We start from the raw sequence: 23,945 nt of genomic DNA, 5'->3' as shown, positions 1-23,945 counted from the left end.
AAAAAACAGAATGCGAATGTTTTTTCATAATTTTGAAAATCACTATATTTGTGAATTTTTACTTCGAACCTGACTCATTTCTGGAGTGATTTTTTGAGGGGCCGCCTTAACATTTTGCTTAGTACTTTGTCCTTCCCTTTAATAAATATTGATTCATTAATTTTCACAACAAAACTATGAACTATGCAGATAATTCAATAATAATTTTCTATAAAGAGAAAAATTAGGCATAAAATAATTCTACAGCTTCCCCAAGGTATGTGGACACCAAAACTGGAAAAAGCAACAGGAGTGGACGTCACAACCACTGCTCCTCACAAATCCTTCTCCCCTCAGAAGAAAGGCGCTCTTGAATTGACAAATACTTTTTCATTATGTGGCTTTTTTTCTTTTAAAAGTTTATGGTAATACCAAATAACAATAAATCCAACTGGTAATATTGGAAATGGCATCCCAAGTACCTTGGATTCCAATGCTTGTTAAATTTAAAGTGCCCTTCTAGAAAATTCAGCAAAATTTTACATAAATTTTTGTTAAATCTGAAAAGCTCAGTAAGTAAAAACCTGTGTTTATATACGTTTTGTTTAAAAAGAAAAAAGAAAAAAATTCAAGGTTGGTTTCCATTTTTTAAGTTACCTATACCTAGAGCTCTGTAGTCTATCGGTAACAAAGTTGCTGATGAATATTTCAAAATATTATATGCAACCAAACCCAAGTTCAATTTTACTTTATCATTAAAGGTCTATGAGTGAAGTCATGTAAACCTGTGAGGTCATAACACATTCATTGATTATAATGACTGGCCAAAGATTAGTCACCCTGGTTTGTAATCAGCAGTAGCAAATATCATGAAGAGTTCAACATCACTGCATTTTTCATGGAAAAAAAAAAAACACTTAAAGTTTATCAGCCTCTCATTTATCTTACACTAAACTCAGAGCACTGCTGAAGAATTAACAGTAACATTGTAAAACACTGCCATCAACTTTATTTTGTTGTTGTTATTGTTTGTTGTTTTTGATTTTGTTTTTGTTTCTGAGACAGTCTCTCTCTATCGCCCAGGCCACAGTGTGGTGGCACAATCTCCATTCACTGCAACCTCAACTTTCCAAGCAATCCTCTCATCTCAGCCTCCCGCAGAGCGAGGATTACAGGTGTGCACCACCATGCCCGGTTAATTTTTGTATTTTTTTGTAGTGACAGGGTTTCACCATGTTGCCCAGGTTGGTCTCAAATTCCTGAGCTCAGACAATCTGCCCATCTTGGCCTCCCAAGGTGCTGGGATTACAGGTGTGAGCCACTGTGCCTGGCCTGAAGTATTTAAATGCTAATTTTTGACTGAAGACATATATTTTCAAAATCATTAGAATTTCTCTACAAATTATATCTCACATTGAACCCTTGGGAGCAACTAAAATGTTCTGTCTCATGAAGGTATACACTTGAAAGTATCTGGAAACAAAAATGTTTAAAGATAACGTTTGGTATTCACCCCTGTGGTTAAAAACAATAAATAAAAAGATAATGCTGACTAAAATGACTAAATGGAATGTGAAATTGGTAAATGTTGCCTAAATAATGATTATTTTTATCATGTTGGAAAATCTGTGCTCCAGGTCTCACAGAAAGCACTGTAACTGCTAACAACAAATAAAACTAAGCTTGCTACATAAAATAATGTCTCCACTAACAAAGTTTCCATTAACTGCATCTAATCTATGTATTGCTGCAAAGGTTGTTACCAAAATGAATGATACTCAGTAACATTCAGAAAAACACTAAGACTAAATTCTGCTGAGTGTCCTAACAGTCATAGAAAACCATTGAGACCACCCTCAAATTAGGCATGTGTGTAGTAGAAGATGGTCCTATCCACGTACTAACCGTCAAAATTTTCCTCCACTTCACCCCGAAGGGATATCTTATACAGAAAATATGGAAACAAAAATATGTTGTTACAAGGTCTAAGCGTTTAGAAGGCACCCTAAGAACAGTTTCTCTCTTGAAAACAAGATTTAAACATCATTAAAAAAACAGTCAACATTCATTAAAACAGTACTCCTAACGCTAACATGGGGGTGGGGTGGTGAGAATGATGTCAGCATTCAGTAAAGTCGGAGACAATTTCTAACACAATAATGGCAATAACTGTTATAAATCCTGACGGCCCTTGCAACGCGGAACGTTGGCAACTTGAAAACATAACTGAATTATTAAATACTGCAGTATTCAAATGACCTGCAGCGAGTGAAAACTCAGCAAACACCCTTGTTCCTTCTGAACAATGACCTAAATAGTGAATCACTATAAAAAGAACAGATGACACATTCAATTCATCTGTTCAACCTCAAATGTGCAAATGTCTGACAGTCCCAGAGATAAGACACAATGAATTCAATAGGACAGTATGGTCATTTTAAGTCATCAGAATGTCTGCAAAAGGAGTAAGGAGAAACAGAATCAGACAGAGGCGGAAAGAGTGGGGGAGGGCTTGTTTAGGGAGACTGAAAAGGACGGGCGTTAAGCCTGTAAAGCAGAAAAAGGCTACCAAGAAGCCTAACTGGTAGAGGAGAAAAAGAAGTTCGGGGATGATATTGACCAAATCCTCGACACTGGCACAGGAGGCGGGGAGTCCGGCAAGACCAGCCTTTGTTGATTTCCCACTTTCCCCGATTTTTAAGCACAGGTCTGCTTCAAAGCTCTCCCGCTGCCCCTAACCAATTTTAAGAGGTGAGAAGCGGGGTGTAACTGGGTGATGGGTACCAAAGGGAGTTCATTTCCCCAAATATTTCCTCCACCCAGGATATAAACCACTCTGAGAGGTAGGATGGGTGAGACAGACAGACGCCGGGATCTCTCGGAAATCAATCCCAATGGAGAAACGCTGGGTGGGTGCGCGCGGTGGGGGAGGGGGCCGGCTCCAGTTCCAAGTGCGGCCACTTACGAAGACGCGCTGGGCACGAAGAAATCCACGGCGAAGCCGAAGTAACTTCCCTCGGGGCCAGAGTACTCGGCAGGACTGTCCACGTCTAGGTTGAAGGCGCGGCACAGAGGTAGCAGGAGTCCCGAGAGAAGAAGCGGGAGGCCGCGGGGACCGAGGCGCAGCCGTCGCCGCGGCGGAAAAGCCATCGCCGAAGTGCGCGCGGGACGCCAAGCCGGGAGCGGTAGCCACCTCCCCCCGCCCCAGCGAGGCGCCCAGTGCCCGCGGCCCGCCGCCTGCGCGCGCCCAAACTTGCCGGCCGCTCTCTTCTCGGCTAGCCCGGGACAGCTCCGGGGCAGGCAAGAGGGCTGAGCTTCGGAGCGACCGCCAGGGACGAGGGGCGCAGAGCGCGCGGGGCGGGGACAGCAGCGCAGACGGTCCTTTGCTTCCCTCCGGCTCCGCCGCTCCACGCAGCGTCTGAGGCTGGGGACTGCCGGGGTGAGCGCCGCACCTCAGGCCTGAGAGCCGCGGCGGCACTGGGAGGAGACCTGGAAGGAGGAGGAGCCGGCCCGGGAGGCTGCTGTGGAGCTGGAGGAGGAAGTGGGGGAGGAGAGGCGCCCTTCTACAGGGGAGAGCTCAGCGTACTTCCGTGAGTGCAGTCGCCGCCTGTCCCGAGACCTGGGCGTCTGTGCAGGGGCCCCCAGCTCCTGAGCCTGGGTCAGCGGCAGCGCTCCTGGACGAAGGCCTCAGGCTGAGCACCTGAGGAGGCGTGGGGGCGGGGGCGGGGAGATACGGTCCAGCGTCCCAATCTACCCGCGTCCACGGGAGTAGCAAGGGCACCCACGTTCCCTTGTCCCGCCGGGAACTTCCGTGCGACTGTTGTTTAAAAATGAGGAAAGCTTTTTATCAGTTTCTCGTGTTTCTGCTGCTTAGCCTGGCAGGCTCTCACGAACGAAACCCTGTTAATTAATGGTCGTTAATTACACTCCATTCCACAAACACTGAACTTAATTACGGATTTCCAGAAAGCCAGCATAGCCTCTTGCAAGTGAGGTATGTAAAGCTTAACTTAGTAGTCAAAGAAAGGATTCGCAGGGCAAAGAATTGGCAGTGATCGTTTTAAATCAAGTCAGAATAATCGAAGCCTTATTCCCAGTTTGTTAGCTGCGGTTGTATGATTTAGAAACACTGATTTGTTGATTTAGGATGTTTGGATAGACATAATTTCAGAGCTGGAAGAAGGACCGCACACCGGTGAAATAAGGCCCCGCGTGCTTGTTTGCCACTGGTGTGTTTCATCAAGCCTTGACAACACTGGACTGAGAGAGAGGGCCTTGAGGACAGGAACCTTGACCTTTTTCTTAGTGTTCTTATTTCTAGCACCTTGCCAAGCAGATAGTAGTCGATCAATAAAATGTCCAATCAGTGAATGAATAGCAGACGAAATGAGCAAAGTGCCCAGAGAAGTGACTCTTCCATATTTCAAGTGTTTCATGTGCTACAGAATCTGTTGAACAAGGTGAAGTTTAAGTGCATTGTGTGGACTTACAACTTACAAGTAAGTACTGGAACAGTAATTTCTGTTTTCCCAAAGTAACTATTAAAACTCAATCATAATATACATTAATAACTATCAAATAATCCTGTGAAAGGATATGTATATAAATGAAAGTGAAATGCCTAATTCGAATTTGTAATATTTATTGGACCAGGTCCAGGTGCTCATGCTGGCAATCTCAGCACTTTGGGAGACTGAGGCAGGAGGATTGCTTGAGACCGGGAGTTCCAGGGGAACATAGGGAGACCTCATCTCTACAAAAATTTAAAAATTAGCTGGGAGTGTGGTGCATGCCTGTAGTCCCAGCTATGCCGGAGGCTAAGGCAGGTAGATAGATCGCTTAGGCTCAGGAGTTCCAGGTTATGATAAGTCATGAGCCTGCCACTGCACTCCAGCCTGAGTGACAGAACAAGACCCTGTGTTTAAAAAAAAAAAAGGCCGGGCGAGGTGGCTCATGCCTGTAGTCCTAGCACTTTGGGAGGCTGAGGCCGGCAAATTGCCTGAGCTCGGGAGTTCGAGACCAGCCTGGGCAACACAGTGAAATCCCGTCTCTACTAAAATACAAAAAATTAGCCGGGCGTGGCGGCATGCGCCTGCAGTCCCAGCTACTCAGGAGGCTGAGGCAGGAGAATTGCTTGAACCCGGAAGGCGGAGGCTGCAGTAAGCTGAGATGGTGCCACTGCACTCCAGCCTGGGCCACAGAGTGAGACTCCATCTCAAAAAAAAAATGCATTAAATATTTCCATTTTTAAATTTGACTAAAAGATATGCAGCAAAACCTTTGGCATGTTTTACAAGGCATGGTCTAGCATCTGCCTGAAAGAAATTACTGATTGAGAGAAGAAATCCTACACAAATCCTTACACATAAATGCAAATACAGCTTATTTCTCACCTTCTTTCCTAATACACCAAAGAGGCTATTGATATGTATGCATAAACCCAAAGGGTCTTTTATATCTTAAAAACATGACAACCAGTCTACCTGGAAATCCATCCAGGTAAGGAAGACAGAAGAGTTTAAACTCTGGCTAGATCCAGTAAGTCTCCCACTCCTCAACTTCTGATCGCAGGACAGGGGTCCGACAGACCAAGGTGGAGTGAAGAAATGTGAGAGGACCAGGGAAAAGAAGAAGCCCACGAAATGACAACACATGTACACCCACCAAAACTTGGGTGAACAACACACCCCCAAATAGGGCTACAACTTACTGAAAGCACTTACTGTTGAGCCATTCTTTATGAGTTTATTTTGAATGAGCAGTCTTGAAAATCAAGGAATTTGTTTTTTTTAAAAAAGCAAATAGTCCAGGCACTGTGGCTCATGCCTGTAATCCCAGCATTTTGGGAGGCCGAGGTGGGTGGATCACCTGAGGTCAGGAGTTCAAGACCAGCCTGGCCAACACAGTGAAACCCCGTCTCTACTAAAAATACAAAAATTGGCCGGGCGCAGTGGCTCACTCACACCTGTAATCCCAGCACTTTGGGAGTCCAAAGTGGGTGGATCACGATGTCAGGAGTTCAAGACCAGCCTGGCCAAGATGGTGAAAGCCTATCTCTACTAAAAATACAAAAATTAGCTGGGTGCAGTGGCAGGCACCTGTAATCCCAGCTACTTGGGAGGCTGAGGCAGGAGAATCACTTGAACCTGGGAAGCAGAGGTTTCAGTGAGCCAAGATCGTGCCACTGCACTTCAGCCTGGATGACAGAATGAGACTCCATCTCAAAAAAGAAAAAACAGTAGCCAGGCATGGTGGTGTGTGCCTGTAATCTCAGCTACTCAGGAGACTGAGGCAGGAGAATTGCTTGAACCCGGAAGGCAGAGGCTACAGTGAGCCGAGATATTGTGGTATTGTGGGCCACTGTGCTCCAGCCTGGGTGACAGAGCGAGACTGTCTAACAACAAAAAAAAGCAAACATACATTTCAATTAGGAAACTATGAAGCAGACTAACCCAGTGGCTTTAGAAACTTGGGGTTATAAATGCAGGCATCTCTTTGTGTGACCATGCTCGAGCAGCCACTCACACAGTGCCTTGCAAATTGTATTGTAGAACATGTCAATTCAGCTAGTGCTGATTCAAAATCCACATTGCACCTGGTACTATGTGCATGGGACAGAGAAAAGAATGTTTTAGTCTACGAAAGAATGGTGGTGCCCCTCCCCTACCCCCATGACACTACTCTTTGAACTACATTATAACAGTTTTCCAACTTAAAAGGAGAACTTCTGTGTATACATTAAGTATTCATTGAATATAATCCTTTTCTTAGAAAATAAAATATTAGATAGTAAAAAGAATTTGTACTTTGAATTTTATCCTCTACTACCCTATACTTTAGTAAAAATCTTGATTCCAGTGGTTTCTGTAAAATAAAGCACCTGGGTTCCATTCCTGGCTTTGCCAACTACTAGTTGTATGACCCTGGGGAAATCAATCCAACCAATCTGTGCCTCAGTTTTCTTATCTATGAAAGGGAAAGGGGAGTAATACTATGTCTATCTCTTAGAATTGAACAGTTCTTGTTGCCATTAATACTTTTAAGACTAATAGTTTAGCATGGTAGCAATAATAAATTTTTTTTTTTGAAACAAAGTGTCACTCTGTCACCAGGCTGGAGTGCAGTGGCGCCATGTCAGCTCACTGCAACCTCCGCGTCCTGGGTTCAAGCAATTCTCCTGCCGTAAATTTTTATGACTATTATTTCACTCTCTTAGTTCCCCTAGTGTCTGTCCAACAGGTCCTTCAATAACCATAATCAAACCAGGGCTTCACGCAGCTCTGTCTCTGCAAACAAAGGAACTTAGTCCATAATTTAAGAGGAATTTCAAATTTTATCTCTCTCAAAGAACCTCAAAGGAGATTCAGTTAATAACCCATGGGAACTTCAGAAATCTGCTTCTTCTACTCTCAATTTCTCTGGAGACTTTAACCCACTAAACCCTGCCCTGGAATTTTTGTTGCTGTTTGCTTGTCTAACTCACTCCTGTCACTCCTCTCTTGGCTGTTTATTAGGGAGACTGACTTGTTCTCTCTTCACCCCCATAACCACTTCCACTCCCAGTGCTGCCCTTTCCTATCTGATCTGTATCAGAAAAGATTCTGGCCAGCACTTCTGCTCTTTGGGTGAATGGGAAAGAAGAGAAGGCAGGCAGTAAACTTGTTACCTTTCTGGGCCATGTTTCCTAAACTACCCCTTCAATGCTAGGATTCCCTAAGTCTCTGTTCTTGAATCACTGCAGTTCTCCTCAGGGTGATCTTATGCATTGTCATGCTCTCAACTCTCATTTCTTAACACTTCCCACCTCACAAAGGAGCTTTAGCCATATTAAATAACTTAACTTTTCTCCAGAGTGCTATCTTTGCTCAAAGGGCTCCATCTTCCTGGGCAACATTAGTTCTGCCTGTAACCATTTTCCACAAGCCTCCATCCTTCTGTTATATACAAACATACACAATGTCCTTAAAGTGGCTGTTTCCTATTCTTCTTTCATTGCTTGTATTAGGCGTCAGCCTGTCTCCAAGAAAGACTTCTCTTAGGAACTACACCTTATTGTCTTTGTATCCTCAGAGCTTACAGACCTTAGGAATTAATTCCATTGTCCACGAACTTAATAATAACTAACATATCCCCACTGTTTTGCAAGGCTGAAGTGGGAGAATCACCTGAGCCCAGGAGACTGGGACCAGCCTGGGCAGCATAGCAAAAACCCATGTCTCCTAGGAAGACTCATTGGGAACCATACCTTACTGTCTTTGTATTCTCGGAGCTTACAGGACCTTAGAAATTAATTCCATTGTCCAGAGACTTAATAATAACTAACATATTTCCAGTTCTTTGCAAGGTTGAAGTGGGGGGATCACCTGAGCCCAGGAGATTGAGACCAGCCTGGGCAGCATAGCAAGAGCTCAGTGACATCACTATATAAATTCAAGTGTGAAGAGAAAGTTAATGAGTAGATTAAGAAAACATACATTGGCCAAGCAAGGAAGATCATGCATGTAATCACAACACTCTAGGAAGCCATGACAAGAGGATGGCATGAGGCCAAATGTTTGAGACCAGCCAGGGCAACATAACGAGACCCCATTTCTACAAACTTGGGAGGCTGAGGCAGGAGGATCACTTGAGCCCAGAAGCTTGAGGTTACAGTGAACTGTGATCACATCACTGCACTCCAGCCTAGGCAATAGAGCAATACTCTGTCTCTCTCTTGCTATCTCTGTATACATATATGTATACATATACATATATATGTCATAAATATATATTAAAACTTATTGTTTCTACTAGAGTCAAACTTACATTTTAAATATCCAGTCGTATTTCCACCTGGAGTTATACATTTATTGAGCACCTTCCTTGTGGTCCTATTTCCATAAGACTCCTTTTTCAAACTTATCTTTCAGAGTTGATACAATCTATGATAGAAGATATATAAAACTGAGATTCAAAGCACCAAAATAGAAATCATGACCGGGTGTGTTGGCTCACACCTGTAATCCAGCCCTTTGGGAGGCCAAGGTGGGCAGATTGCTTGAGCCAAGGAGTTTGAGACCAGCCTGGTCAATATGGCAAATCCCCATCTCTACAAAAAATAAAAAAATTACCCAGGCATGTTGCCATGTGCCTATAGTCACCCCTGGAGTGTGAGCTGGACTTAGTAAACTGCTTTTAGTGAATAGAATAAAGAGAAAGTGACTGTGGGACTTTGTTGACTAGGGCATAAAAGACACTGAAGCTTCCTTTTGTTCTCTCTTGGAGGGGAAGCCAGCTGCCATGTTATGAGGACACACAAGCTGCCTTATAGAGAAACCCACATGGTGAGGACCTGAGGCCTCTTCCCAACCACCATGTGAGCGAACAATTTTCAGAGTGGATCCTGCCTCCCAATTAGGCCCTTAGATGATAGCAGCTCCTGCCAGCCTCAATCTCAAGTGAGACCCTGAGCCAGGACCATCCATCTAAGTAGCTCTTTAATTACTGACCCATGGAAACTGAGATAATGTTTGTTGTTTTGAGCCAATATGTTTGGGGTTTAAAATTTGTTATTCAGCAATAGATAACTAATACAATGAGTTTATAAAAGTTAGTAATTTGCTAAGGTCACAGAGCTAGGAAGTATTAGAGATGTTCTAGCCAGTTTATAATAGCAAAGGTGACCATGCAATTTATTGTCGAACTGAGACACTTTAGAGAGTAATAGAAACACTAATAATAACTATATTGATACAACAGCTATATACTGGAACTCTCCAGGGCAAATTGGAACATAGGATCACCCTAATTACATCCTATGCTCTCTATTGCTACACAATTCTGTTTTCAGTATAAGTAAGTATATACAGTATGGCCTGTGCAACAATGTAAGTTTAGCACAAAGAAAGGATAATTCATTTATTCAGACAGAGACTGCTAGCTAGCTATCCAATATTCATTGCCTGCTTCTTGTTTGGTAATAAAACCCCTATATTGTGTGGTGGCAACAGTGGTCTAGCTGGAAAAAAAGAAACCATTTCCAGCTTCCTACAGATGGACAAGATATGTCAGTAGAAGTTGTCAGGTGGAGCTTGTAGGAAAGTTCTTTTGTGGGGGCTATCTTAACTATCACAAGGAACCTTTTTTGTTCTTCAATTTCTGTATAACTGCTGCCTAAGACATGGATGTGATAGTCAGAACTGCAGAAGCCACATTGTGGACATGAAGCTATACTTGGTAATATAGGTCATGAACTAAGAATTATAGAACAGAAAGTTTGTGTTTCTCATAACCATGGACCCATCATAACAGTTTTGAACTGTAAACCTGTATTATGCAGTAGAAAAATATACCTTTATCTTTGTTAAGCTGTTATGACTTGGATTTTCGGTTATACCTTGACTAACCTAATCTTAGCTGATATACTCACCTTAATTCCTCAAACAGAGATTTAAATTTTGAGTGCCAAAAATTTTTATTCTTAACCTATTTGGATAGAAATTATGCTAAATATACTGACCACTCTAAAAGAGAAGAGTAGCTAAAAGAGAAACATTGTCAGGTAGTTTTCTTGATGATACAAGGTTATTATTATGTACAGAAAGATGAGTCAGTTCACTGTTTTGGGTCTTTAAAAGTTTATATGCTCCATGGAAGCTCCTCCAATTGTTGACATTAATAAAACAAGTATGAATTAAGTCATTGTGAGCAATACTCTAATTTTCAGATGGTCTGGTGCCATCACTAATTTTGTTCCTTCTGGGAGGTTTTCTAAAATCTCCACCTTTACTTCCTCTAAAACTTGAAGACTAAAGATTTTCACCTTTCAGTCTTTATGGATATATTTGGGTTTAATAGAAAATGATGATGTTCACTAAGATGTTAGATACAGAACTCTTAATTGCATAATAGCATTAGATTTAGCACATAGAGACAAAAAATTAAAGGTTTTATGCATTTCAGCATTTTGTGAAGCATAAACCATTCTACAGTTGGATTTCTTTTCTTCTGAGTTTTGACTAAATTACTAGTATGGAGATGGTTACATGAATTAATTCTATTCTTTGGTTATAAGAGAGTCCTTAAAAAACTTTTTTATTCTGTCTAGTTGTTCTAACTATTTCAGTTTAGACTATCTTTATTATTAAGAAAATTTCTAAACAGTTACTTTAATGAAGTACTCTCTATACAGAATAAATCTTGTTCACATGTCTAAAATATCAAGGATAAATATATGGAAGAAACTTCAAGGACAACCTAACAATATGGCTGACCTGAAATGCAGTAGTAAAGGACATTTATTAAGAAGAATGAAAACTAAGGCTAGATGATCATTTGATAGGGATGTAATAAATATGTGTTGTCTACTATAACTTTCTTCAATGATGAAAATGTTCGATATTTATATTGTCTGAACACTTGCATTACCCATATGTGGCTCTTGAGCTCTTGAAATGTGACTAGTATGATGGAAAAATTAAATTTCAACTTAAAAATATTTTTCATTGTCACATGTATCTAATGGCTTCCAAATTGGACAGCATAGTTATAGATGGTATTGATACCGAGGTTAAAGAATCAGATTTGATAGATTCTAAAGTCTCTTCCAACTTTGTATTGCCATAGCTGCAAAAATAAATGGTGAAACTTTTTCTCCGTTACTGCTCCACTCTGAACCAAATTTTTCTGTTTTTAATATTAGGAATTCATTTATTCATTAATTTAATCATCATAGAATTAGTGTGCCAAGTGCAGTGGAAAAAAAAAGAAGCTGCTCTGGCATCAACATTTTTGACCTTGCTTTTCTCTTTCACTGCCTTCAATATCTCTTCTCCTCTGGGACACATGTCTCATTGTCAAATGTGATAGCAAGGTAGCAGGCTATGGACACAAAACCCTAAATGCAGGGGCTTCCAGATTGAGCAGATATTTCTCTGCTTGGAAGGAGCAAACCCACAGAAATGTATGGGGTCATGCAGGAATAATAAGGATACTGAGTCAGATCAAATTGATTTTAGTGTAAATAATGTGATGTTACTTGCACATCTGAGATTGCGTGTGGGCTGTACATAATTCCCACTATTGCCAGGATTCTTGCCAGTGTTCCAAGAATTCTCAAAGGGGCTTAAGCCAAAATTAAGTTCCCAATCTCACTGGCACCTCACCTTCTGCATCCGGTTTATTTACTCAACCTTGCACATACTTCATCCAAACTGAAAAAATGGAATATGGCCCCTTTTACATTTATTCCACAAAGGAACCTGAATGCATGGTGGTTGCATGTAACAGAATTCTGTAGAAAGTCTGATGGTGATGGTGGAGGGTAATATTTCAGAGTAATGCAGCGGAGGCCAGCTAACCACTTACGGTTGAATAGTAGACATATTTACAGCCCTCAGCCATTCCTACCATGGGAACATTGCGTTGACTGTATCTCCTTCTCAGCCTCCTGGCCTGTCATTGTGTTGTGTGCACTCCTTGCCACCAGACCTTCTTTTCTTTGATGTCCTCATTCCTAGGCCCCTGTGTCTTCCTTCTGGGCCAATGTCATGTCTACATCTTTCTCAGATTTCATACTGAGCAACTAAGACTTCTCTTTGTTTTGGCCTTTTTTTTTCAGACCATGTTTGGAACTTACATTGCAAGACTCAAAATTTTGAATGAAAAACTTAAGTTTAAAATGTTCTTATTCTAAAAAGGATTCTGGCTCCAGAGTTTGAAATAAAATTTTCTCTTTTTCATATAACTATATATGCTATGTAAGTATATATTGTTATGAGAAAAAGATGCCTCAGAGAGGACTTGGCCATTGTCATAAAATCAATAAAAGGTGTTACTGGGATTAGTATACAGGTCTCTTGAAAGGCATTTATCTTTCTATTATATTATCACTGTAAACAATATGAGTTAAAAAGATTTTATAAACATGTCTGAGAATCTTATACTTACTTACATATTATCTCCAATAGGAAATCTTTCTTGACTACCAAAAATGGCATAACAAACTTTTGAAAAGTAAGTCATATAAAAATGAAAAATGCATAGGTAAAAAAGTTATTGAACATAACTTGATGCATATATGTATTTTTAAATGGTATTTCACATGGGTACATTAGTTAAGAATTCAGCCAATACTTTGAAAATCCAGTGTTACATATAGGAAGTGGAACTTTTAACCAAAAAGAAAAAAAAAAGAGAGAGAGATAGAAAATTTTTTCCTGTTGTAATTGAGTTAGAGAAGCAAGTAGATAATAATTATTTTGACAAAATTATGCCTTGATCACCAACAATACCTTTTGAGGATGCCAGAAGATAGATTTATCAATGCTTATTGAATTATAAAACTTTTACTGACTCAGGGCTACATACAAGATGCTATGGCATATTGTGGTAGATGCTACAGCACTTTCAAGAATGAAGAGGCTGAGGCAGGTGGACTGCTAGAGGCCAGGAGCTGAAGACCAGCCTGGGCAACACAGCGAGACTCAGTCTCTACAAAAAATAAAAAATGTTAGTCAGGAGTGGTGGCACATGCCTGTAGTCCTAGCCACTCAGGAGACTTAAGCAGGAGCCCAAGAGTTTGAAGATGCAGTGAGCTACGATCATGTCACTGCACTCTAGCCTGGGCAACAGAGTGAGACCCTCTCTCTTAAAAAAAAAAAAAGGGAATGAAATGAAGTATTTGTCAGGACTCTTTCAGTTACAAGTGATAATATCCCAATTCATATTAGCTAAAGTGAAAAAGAGAATGGATTGATTCACATAACCCAGAAGTGCAGTGTTGGTTCTGTCTTCAAACACAACACAATTCTTTTTCCAGCTCTGCTTTCTACTTTATGTTGGCCTTACCCTCTCCAACTGCATCAGGCTGTACAGTTGACCAGAGAAAACAGTTATAGGTCCTACTTTAGCAATCCATAGATGATAAAGCTACCCTCTTCTCAAATAAGTATCTCAACTCAAGGCAATGATTTATATTGACTGTGTTTATAATAATTGCTCACCCCTGAACCAATCACTGTATTCAGAGAGTGAGATATTATGGTTGGCCACAGGTCAGGTGATAAACTCCTATGGGAATAATGTGGCACAGCACTGTGGTTGATGAATGTTGTTATTACTTAAGATGGAGGAAGGGCAGTTCCACAAAGATAGAGATGTAACTAGGCATACAAATATAATATTTGGCTAATACAGACTTATAAGTAACATGTCTTGTTCTCAAGGAGTTTTCCACATATAACTCTTGGTACTTATATAGGAGAAAAAGAATTCCCTCATGTGCCCTGAATTTTTTATTTCAATATTAATCAGTTATCCCGATTATGAAACTTGAAAAATATTCCCCTAGGCCTTCCTACTGTTAATTAAATCTATTTTTGTTAGTTTTAAACCAACTATGAAAATTATATAATCATTGGCATAATATTTTTGTGGTCAAAATGCAATGTTGGCTTAAAACTTTTTGTCTGTATCATAAATTATACATTTATCTTTAGATATTGTGGGAACTATGTCAACTAACAAGCCATTTCCTCAGTTAACCCCACTTCTGTGGTTGTGATGATTTGAAAACTGTTTCTTAACCTTGCTACACCTTGGTTGGTACTGTATTTGGAAACAATTTATTTTCGCCTTGACAACAAAACTTACCATTATTTTTAGAGAAATTTCATTTGCTAGAAAGCATCATTTGTATTATTTTATACTCATGCTGCCTGGGTATATGGAATGAAATTAAATGCCTGATGTTTGCATTACATATTTTTACTAAATGTGTCTCACATGCAATAGGGTGAAATACAGCTTTTATTGCATTAAGCTGCCAAGATCTCTGTGTTAATTTGATACTATAATACCGCCTAGTCAATCCTGAGGAATACAGATACATTAAATTACAAGTAGGCATAATTTATAAACAAAAAGGATTCTCATGGTAATTATGAAATGTTATATATTTTCCCTTACTACAGTATGTATAATTTCTATTCTAGACAAAAAACATACATATATTTGTGTGATTTACCTACAAATAACAGTTGATTTCACCGTTTTCCCAAGAGAAAGAGAAAACAATCTTCATTTAGTGAGTATCAGGGTTCAAAATATTTCTCTGGTGAGTTCAAGCTCAGAAGAGTCAGAAGGGATCTCCTATGCCAACTATCTGTACATATCTATGATTTCATCTTACTCTTTATTTCAGCAACTAAAATTTCAAAAATAAGTTTTTAAAAAAATTCTGAGTAGAAGTTCTGTTACTATACTAGAAATGTGTGTTTTCACCACAAGTTCTTTCACTTTAACTGTAGCAAAAGAAATGCAAGTTGATCTCCCTAAAAGTCCTTGGGAAGTGGCTACTATTGAGAGTTTTCTTGGGTTCTCCTCACCTCCTGAGGGTAAAAGAGAACCCCAGGAGGATTAAGTTTGAATCTTTCACCTACCACTGGAAAGCAGACATCTCAGAAATGTCAATATCACTTGTCTAATAATCAATCCTTCTCTTCAATTAAATAGCATTTCCTTCATGCTTTAACTCATTGGTTTTCAAACGTTTCTTAGCAGTGGAACCCTTCAAATGGCACACTAGCAGAATTCACATATATAAGACTAAGAAAAAGCAGAACCCAGATGCTGCCAGAGGACCACCGTCAAGTACAACTGAAAACTACAGCTTTCAACACTTCACACCACCTTTGTTTTATGATACACCTATTATGCTGCAGCTATGATGAGGGCATACAAATAAATAAAAGACTTGGTCATTTCCCTCAGACACATTCATTTTCATCTTTCTATAGTGGTTTCAGCATATTCACCTACAATTTATATGGTTCTCCACTCAAATAAACCTCCCCGAGCATCTGCCTTCCCTATTCTCCTTTCCCTTCCTTTCATAATGCTCAAAAAACATCTGCACACTTTTTATCCCACTTCTGCCTCAACTCAGCTGCATTTTTGCTATGTAGCCAATATCAAGACTTTAACCCATATCAATTCCAGTCAAAGTCTCCACCAAGCCCATTTCCGCAGAGGGCTGTGCTATTTTGCTCCCCAATCAACTCCCTCTCCAATAATCCATGTTAGATAAGTGAGGAAGAATAGAAATAATCTTTTCAATTTCCATTTTATAATAAGATATATATATAAACAAAAATGCTCTGTTGGTACCTGGGACACTGCGTATGGTGACGATGATACAAATGTGCACTTGCTCCAGCAGCATCATTTGCAGGAGTAATGCACAGCTATGTGGCCACCTACCTCAAGCCTCCTCTGTGCTGAAGAAAATCTTGCTAGGGGGTGTATCTCAAAAGGTGGTCTGAGGACCACTGCCATCTGGGGTCTTTGTATAAAAAGTGGGTTGCCAGGCCTAGCTAAATCAGGATTTCTGGGGTGGAGACGAGACCTGAGTTTTTTTTTTTTAGAATTTATTTTGGGGCGTTTTAGTGAAACTAAACTTAGTGAAGTTTGAGCATTCCATCTTTTTAGTTACCTATTGCTACATATCAACTCCTCCCCCCGACAACCCCAGTAGCTTTAGACAATGATTTCTTATTTATCATGATTCTGTGTGGGTTCACTAGCAGTTTCTCTTTTGGCATCTCCTGGGCTCACTCAAGCATCATCATTCTGGTAAAGGCACGGCTAGACTGGAAGGTCCAAAATAGCCTCATACATGTATTTGGCAATGCTGCTGGCTGTTAGCAGCAGAGCATCTCAGTTCTTCTTGTGACCTCTCATCCTCCAGTCAGCTGAAGCAGCTTCTCAGGGCAATGCTCCAAGACAGCAAAGGTGGAAGCTGCAAGCTTTCCTGAGGCCTAGGCTTGCTTGTACAACATCATTTCTGCCACATTTTGTTGGGTCAGAGCAAGCGAGATGGCCAGACCAAGTTCAAAGCAGAGAAAAAATAGATTTCATTTCTTGATAGATTCAGTCACAAAGCATTTTGTGGCTGTATTTATTTTTCCTGTACACCATAGTTCTTAATACTTAGTCCCTTCTCCATCATGTCTGCAGGGATTGTTGTGTTTATGAAACTTCTGGGATATGCTTTTTATGGGCTTTGCTTTGAAATGAAAATTTCTGTCAGTATTTGCTAGAAACAGGTTGTTTTGCTTTCCAGTCCTAAAACCAGGATTGTTAATATCATGGCTAATAGTTATTAAATATAAGGGTCCAACCTCCGTCGAAAAGATTCAGAAGCTCAAAAGAAAAAAAAAAAAAAAGAGTTGGTATCTAACTTCCATTTTGGACCTACTCAAAAACAACTATGGACTTATTTAAGAAAAAAATTATTAATACAACAGAATTGCACATATCCACAATTATTTTGTTCAGGTTTTTCCCATCAAAACCTTTTCAAATATGAAAAAATCAGAATTGGCTAAGTAAATTTAGTTTCCTCTTCTACCAGGCTTGCAAAGGGAGGGCTTCCACCCAAGCCACACCTACATCTCTGCTCCAAGAATTTGCTACTGTATACACAAGCTACATGGAATATTGAGAAAACTGATTTAAAATGTATTCTTGGAAAGTGGCCTCTGAGAGGACTTAAATAGCAGTTAATTCTTCAGAAAAATGCCAAACCCTGAGTGCCACCATGGGCAAGTCAGCTATCTCAGTCTTTCCTCCTAAAGTGAGCGTTGAATTTTATACTCTGTACCCAACTGACTTCAATCCATCTTTATTCTCTCTACCATTTTCATATTTAAATAAAACCTTTTGCTCTTATCAAAAATCACTTTTTAGGACAAGCTATGGTAAAAGAGGAAACCACGAAAATCTCATTTAATCAACTGAAAGAAAATATACAATTAATTTGCCTGTTGCCTTAAGTTGAAGTGTTTTAATACATTCTCCTGTATTTAACGTTTGCTTATATATTTTTTTCCCTTTTGGTTTATTCTAAGGCAAAAGTTTGCCAAGAACTATGTCCTCCTGAGTCAGCAAGTAAATTTCCCACTTAGATGAGTCACCAGCCTGGCTTCCCTAAGTCAGAGTCCTGTGTCTGGGCTAGATGAGAAACAACATTACAGGCAATCAGTCTAGACAGCTTAGGGGCAGCCACTTGGCCATTTATGGTATCATTTCCTTTTTTTTTTTCAACTAGGAGAGCCTAGAGAGCAAAGAGAGGCTCCTGGGAATATATGTAGGGTTGCCAAATTTAGCAGATAAAAATACAGGATGTCCAGTTAAATTTGTATTTCAAATCAACAATGAATACTTTTTTAGTATACATATGCCCTGTGCAATATTTGGAACATACTTTCACTAAAAATAAAAAAAAAAATCACTTATCTGAAATTCACATGTAATTGACTAGCCTATATTTTATCTGGCAACCCTACATATTTGGATCTCATCTCACATCAATCACCTTTTATCATGCTACAGAATGTCACAGATGAAAGTCTTTTCTCCTGCGTTTTAGAGAATGAAAGTTGAGTTATTTTTCTTTCATCTTTTATTAACTATGGAATTACTATCTAACATCAGAGAAAGAAAAAATGATCAGTGACAAGAATTCCTTAGAGCCATGCTTCTCAGACATGAATGTACATATAAACCAAACCACATGGGAACCTTGGAAAAATCCAGATTCTAATTCATCAGCCCGAGGTGAGGCCTGACATTCTGCATCTGTAAAAAGCTCTCAGGTAATAACAATGCCGCTGGTCCATGGACCATACTGGTCAGTAGCGAGGGTTTTAGTGTTTCTCACATTTCGCTGTACATTAGAAAAATCTGGGGAGCTTTTAAAACTCTTGATGCCCAGGCTGCATCTCACCTAATAAAATCCAAATCTCTGGGAGTGGGAGCCAGGTGTCAGTAATTTTTTTTTTAAAGCACCTCAGTTGTTTCCTATGCACAACCAATGTTAAGACCTGCTATCTTTGGCTGGGCAAGGTGGCTCACGCCTGTAATCCCAGCACTTTGGGAGGCCAAGGCAGGCAGATCACGAGGTCAGGAGATCAAGACCATCCTGGCTAACACAGTGAAACCCCATCTCTACTGAAAATACAAAAAATTAGCTGGGCGTGGTGGCGGGCGCCTGTAGTCCTAGCTACTCGGGAGGCTGAGGCAGGAGAATGGCGTGAACTTGGGAGGTGGAGCTTGCAGTGAGCTGAGATCGCGCCACTGCACTCCAGCCTGGGCCACAGAGTGAGACTCCGTCTCAAAAAAACAAAAAACAAAAAACAAAGAACAAAGACCTGCTATCTTTGGCCAACCAGTTCACTGCAACACTGGTTAATATTTATTGTTATCTCCTTAGTGGGAGGCAATCCCTTAAAAAAAAAAAAAAAGAGCACTCTGGTTGTTACATAGTAACTGTAATCTTTGTTTTAATTTTTTTTATTTTTAACTTTCGTGGATACATAGTATATATATATATTTATGGGATAAGTAACTATAATCTCCAGAGGCTGAAGTTGAAGGATCTCCACTGCAAGTCTTTTCAGTGTGTCCACTTTCAGTTATGCTTTCTAAGCAATTGAGAAAAGCAATAGATTTTTTTTTCTTTGCTTAAGCTCAGTGGCAAGAAAGCAATAGATTTTTATTATTTCAACTGTTATAATAAATATTTTTCACTAAATATTTTCCAAATTCAGAAATTTTATATCTGTGACACCAAGATTGTTGGAAAGTACTTTTTCCATGATTCTAAAATAATTTATTTTTCTTAATGTTTCTAATAGAAACCAAACAGCCACCACCTCAGAGTTAGACTGGCTTGGAAAAGACTGGTATTTATTGTCTGTTACTCTGGGAGGCTTGACTGGAGTCAAGGAATGTGGCTTACGGAAGAAAATCAAATCTTTAAGTCTTGTTGTTTTTCACAGACATGTCGATAACATAAAAGTATGCTTTCAAAGCTACTGATATGAACATAACGTATATATAACACATACTTACACAAAATATAAATAGAAATGTCTATAAAAGCCTTGTTTCTTAACCAAACACCTTCCTCATTTTTCCTCTTAATTGTTGTCACTTTGGTGCCATCCATTTTTTTATCATCTTCCCTAAATCACTGTCTTCTTTTTGTAGTCTTGTTTGACTGAGAAATGCCTTTAGGGTATCTTGTACTTTATGCTGGAGTGCTGTCCCATGGAATCGTCTTCTTTCTTTTCTTTTTTATTTACCTTGGTTTACTTTGTCCGCTTAATCATATATTCTCTTCTGTCATGTGTGCTTAGCCTACTCCCTCTATCTCTTCTCCCCTCAGTCCTGTACTTTCTTTTTTTTATTAAGTTTCTACATTGTTTGTTTGGTGGGGGGCGGTGTGTGTGCACGCACACCACCACACCTGGTTAATTTTTGTATTTTTGTGGAGATGGGGTTTTACCATATTGTCCAGGCTGATCTCAAACTCCTGGCCTCAAGTGATCCACTTGCTTTGGCCTTCCAGAGTGCTGGGATTACAGGCGCGAGCCACTGCGGCTGGCCAGTCTTCTACTTCAGTATCCAAACAATCTAGAATTTGTGACCAGATATTTTACTTGACCTATCCCCCTCACCAGCTCCAGCAGCTGCTACCATGCCTTGGGAAACCACCTTAAGGAGTCCATACATGCCCCTGATACTGGGTGGCACCATCAGCTGGTTGAAAGGTTGCCAACTTGAAGAGGTGACTCAGAAGAGGGTGGGTGGCAAATTGTTTTGCAAACATTTAACTATTTGTCCTTTCCTTAGTGCGCCCTTTCGGAAAATTTTTGGCTTGGAGGTGAGCTAGGGCAAAGTGGGATGCATCTCTTATGCCACATGAGTCTCCCAAAATGAGGAGGAAAAGTTAAGCTTCACACAAAGTCAGCTGCCTAAAAATGTTTTTGTTCTAAATAATGGTAGTTTACTTTTCCTGCCATCATGGGAGGCTCATACACAGTTTCTTTATTTTATTTTATTTTATTTTGAAACAGAGTCTTGTATAAATGATCTTATACAGCAAACGAAACCTGTGGTCTTGTGTTTTCTGCTTCTGTGTTTTCACAGTCTAATTTAGTTTTCCTTTTTGTGAAGCAACCAGATCCAGGAAAATTTAAGAACACTAACTAAAAGTGGGCCATCTATTTATCCAGGCTATGCTCAGCAATAGCGCTGAGCTGATCATGCACTCAAGCAGCTGGAGTGCATCAACACAGTCACCGCTCACTGCAGCCTCAACCTTCCAGCCTCAAGCGATTCTCCCATCTCAGCCTCCCAAGTAGCAGCTGGGACTACAGGCGCGTGCCACCATGCCCATCATACACAGTTTCTTAAAACTCAGAACAGTGTACAATATGGTGACAAAATAGTAACTAAACTAATGTTTATTCAACATTGTAAATTTTTATATGCAATTAGACCTTTAAGTCTTGAAAACAACCCCCATTTTAGAAAATGAGGGTTAGAGAATAATGAGTTGCCCATGGTCACACAGGTAATCAGGTGGTAAAGACAGGATGTGAATCCAAACAAATCGAGTTAGAGAGCTTACCTGCTGTACATTTGAATATACCTAGGGCCTCCACTATGCTATATTGCCTTTTATAGTTCTCTTGGAGAATAACAGGATTCTAAAGGATGATGATTTTAGATGTTAATGATGGTAAATGCATTAACTGCAGTAGTTTTCTCCAAACTGATTAAAAAGATTATTTGAAGTGTTACACAAGCCTGATATTACATAACGGTTAATCATAGTAAGAATTTTATTCCCTTTTCATTATTGTTTTAGTCTTTCTGATTACTACAAAAGGGTCAGATTGGGCGGGTGTGATGGCTCACGCCTGTAATCCCAGCACTTTGGGAGGCCAAGGTGGGCGGATCACCTGAGGTTGGGAGTTCGACAGCCTTACCAATGTGGAGAAACCCCGTCTCTACTAAAAATACAAAATTAGCCAGGTGTGGAGGCGCATGCCTGTAATCCCAGCTACTTGGGAGGCCAAGACAGGAGAATCACTTGAACCTGGGAGGTGGAGGTTGCAGTGAGCCGAGAGCCTGGGCAACAAGAGCAAAAACTCCGTCTCAAGAAAAAAAAAAAAAAAAAGGCTCAGATTGGTGCCAACTTATGTTAGCAGCTCTACTCATACTTGCTAATCTTTTAACAAAGAAAGGCAGGCCTTATGCTGAGGGGTTTTAGTAGGCAAGAGTAACATTATTTTGTGTTCATTTCTAAGATTTTTTCCATTTATGCCAAATGATTTTGGTTTATTTATTTAGGCGTGAATATACGTCCTCTTTAAATAAAATTTACATGTACATAACCTTTTTTTAAAAAGTACATGGTAGAGTTGATATGCAGATGTGTCAAAAATCATGCCAGTAACATGCCAATGGTTGCAGTCTAGACTACTTTAAACAACACAACAACAAGAACAAAACAAAAAGACTTTGCAGTCCTATTTCTACTAGCTGCGTGAAAATGTTGGAATTAAGAAAGAAATAAAAAGTTTAATCCTGAAGAGAACAGAATATTAGCTGCTATTGAATTCTGTTCTAGGACTTATAGAGTATAAAACAATTACTCCTCATTCCCTCCTGTGAGGCATTATTATGTTGTAGAAAGAGCGAAAGTGTTGACACAATTTCACAAGCTAAAGGTCGGATCCTAACTCTGCCACTGACTAACCCTAGGCAGGTTCTCATACATTCCTTGAATTCAGTTTCTCTATCAAGAAATAAAGATAAATTAGTTTCTGGCCCGGCTCGGTGACTCATGCCTGTAATCCCAGCTCTCTAGGAGGCTGAGGTGGGTGGTTTGCTTAAGCCCAGGAGTTCAAGATCAGCCTGGGGCAACATGGTGAAACCCCTTCTCTACAGAAAATACAAAAATTAGCCAGCCATGGTGGTACACGCCTGTAGTCCCAGCTACTCTGGAAGCTGAAGTGAGAGGATTGCTTGAGCCCAGAAGGTTGTGGCTGCAGTGAGCTGTAACTGTGCCACTGCACTCCAGCCTGGGTGACAAAGTCAGACCCTGTCTCAAAAAACAACAACAAAAAAACAAAAAACAAATTAAATAGTTTCTTCTGCCGTTTAGTCTATGATTCCACACTCAATGTATCCTCAATGGTTTGTACATTTTTTCCTAGCCACATCAGTATGGAACTGTGTGGGTTAAATCTCCTTTGACAATCTTCTCCCTTAGAGTTAAAAAAAAAATCTGCATCTATTTCCATTTATTTGCCTTTCTTCCAAAGTGCTTACCTAGGAGAAGCTTTGTATAGATCTGTACAAATAACTTATGTTTTGAGAGAATATAAACAATGCTAATGCTTTCTTTTGTAAAGCTTCTGTTTTGTTATCAAAAGCTATCAAATTTGAAGTCTCCCTTGGGGGTGGGGTGAAAGTGCTGTTACAGGTCTGCTGCCTATTAAAACCTGGTTCTATTCTGGGAGAAAGTGAGACATTAACTTCCTTTCCACCATTCAAAGAAACTAGCTTAAATTCCAAGGATGGCTGTGGCCATTTACCCGACACTGCACTTCCCCATTGTGTTTGTTTGTTTGCTTTAACATTGGGCACAAAGTACAATTAATTACCACTGCTCACTGAACTAGAATATAATTACGGCCTGAAAGGATGACCAAACTGCTTTCTCTTGTTGAGTGACCATAACTGCAGAGACCCTTTTCCAAAGCTGCTTGAGTGCATGATCAGCTCAGCGCTATTGCTGAGCATAGCCTGGATAAATAGATGGCCCACTTTTAGTTAGTGTTCTTAAATTTTCCTGGATCTGGTTGCTTCACAAAAAGGAAAACTAAATTAGACTGTGAAAACACAGAAGCAGAAAACACAAGACCACAGGTTTCGTTTGCTGTATAAGATCATTTAAAATCCTAGTTTCGTGGTTTTCTTTTTTTTTTTTGTAATTTTAATTTTTATTTTAAGTTTGGGGGTACCTGTGCAGGACGTGCAGGATTGTTACATAGGTAAACGTGTGACATGGTGGTTTGCTGCACCTATCAACCCATCACCTAGGTATTAAGCCCAGCATCCATTAGCTA

The 23,945-nt window shown here is 40.0% G+C and overlaps 1 protein-coding gene and 1 long non-coding RNA gene across 3 annotated transcripts in view, besides 2 other annotated features; one reads left to right on the top strand and one right to left on the bottom strand.

The window, feature by feature from the left end:
* ITGAV (integrin subunit alpha V) overlaps window positions 1-3,412 on the bottom strand; it is a 90,846-nt gene extending 87,434 nt beyond the window's left edge. For both annotated transcript variants that reach the window (NM_002210.5, NM_001145000.3), the window contains exon 1: window positions 2,945-3,412. In NM_002210.5, coding sequence (NP_002201.2) covers window positions 2,945-3,129 — 185 coding nt within the window. In that variant the 5' untranslated portion in view covers window positions 3,130-3,412. The remainder of the gene's footprint in view (window positions 1-2,944) is intronic.
* Window positions 2,930-2,989: an enhancer, noted in NCBI's record as "active region_16844". NCBI's record gives its function as "activates an Ori minimal core promoter by ATAC-STARR-seq in GM12878 lymphoblastoid cells {active_cell/tissue: GM12878}" and the evidence as "EXISTENCE:reporter gene assay evidence [ECO:0000049][PMID:35858748]".
* Window positions 3,120-3,349: a silencer, noted in NCBI's record as "silent region_12168". NCBI's record gives its function as "represses an Ori minimal core promoter by ATAC-STARR-seq in GM12878 lymphoblastoid cells {active_cell/tissue: GM12878}" and the evidence as "EXISTENCE:reporter gene assay evidence [ECO:0000049][PMID:35858748]".
* On the top strand, window positions 3,572-15,730 carry LOC124906105 (uncharacterized). Its single transcript, XR_007087465.1, has 2 exons — window positions 3,572-4,478; window positions 9,244-15,730. It is a non-coding gene; the product is annotated as an uncharacterized LOC124906105 (long non-coding RNA).
* Window positions 15,731-23,945: the final 8,215 nt, after the last annotated feature.

This window comes from Homo sapiens, chromosome 2 (assembly GCF_000001405.40).
Source record: "Homo sapiens chromosome 2, GRCh38.p14 Primary Assembly".
Taxonomy (NCBI): domain Eukaryota; kingdom Metazoa; phylum Chordata; class Mammalia; order Primates; family Hominidae; genus Homo; species Homo sapiens.
Note: the sequence above shows the minus strand (reverse complement) of the source record. Positions and strands in the feature narration are given on the sequence as shown.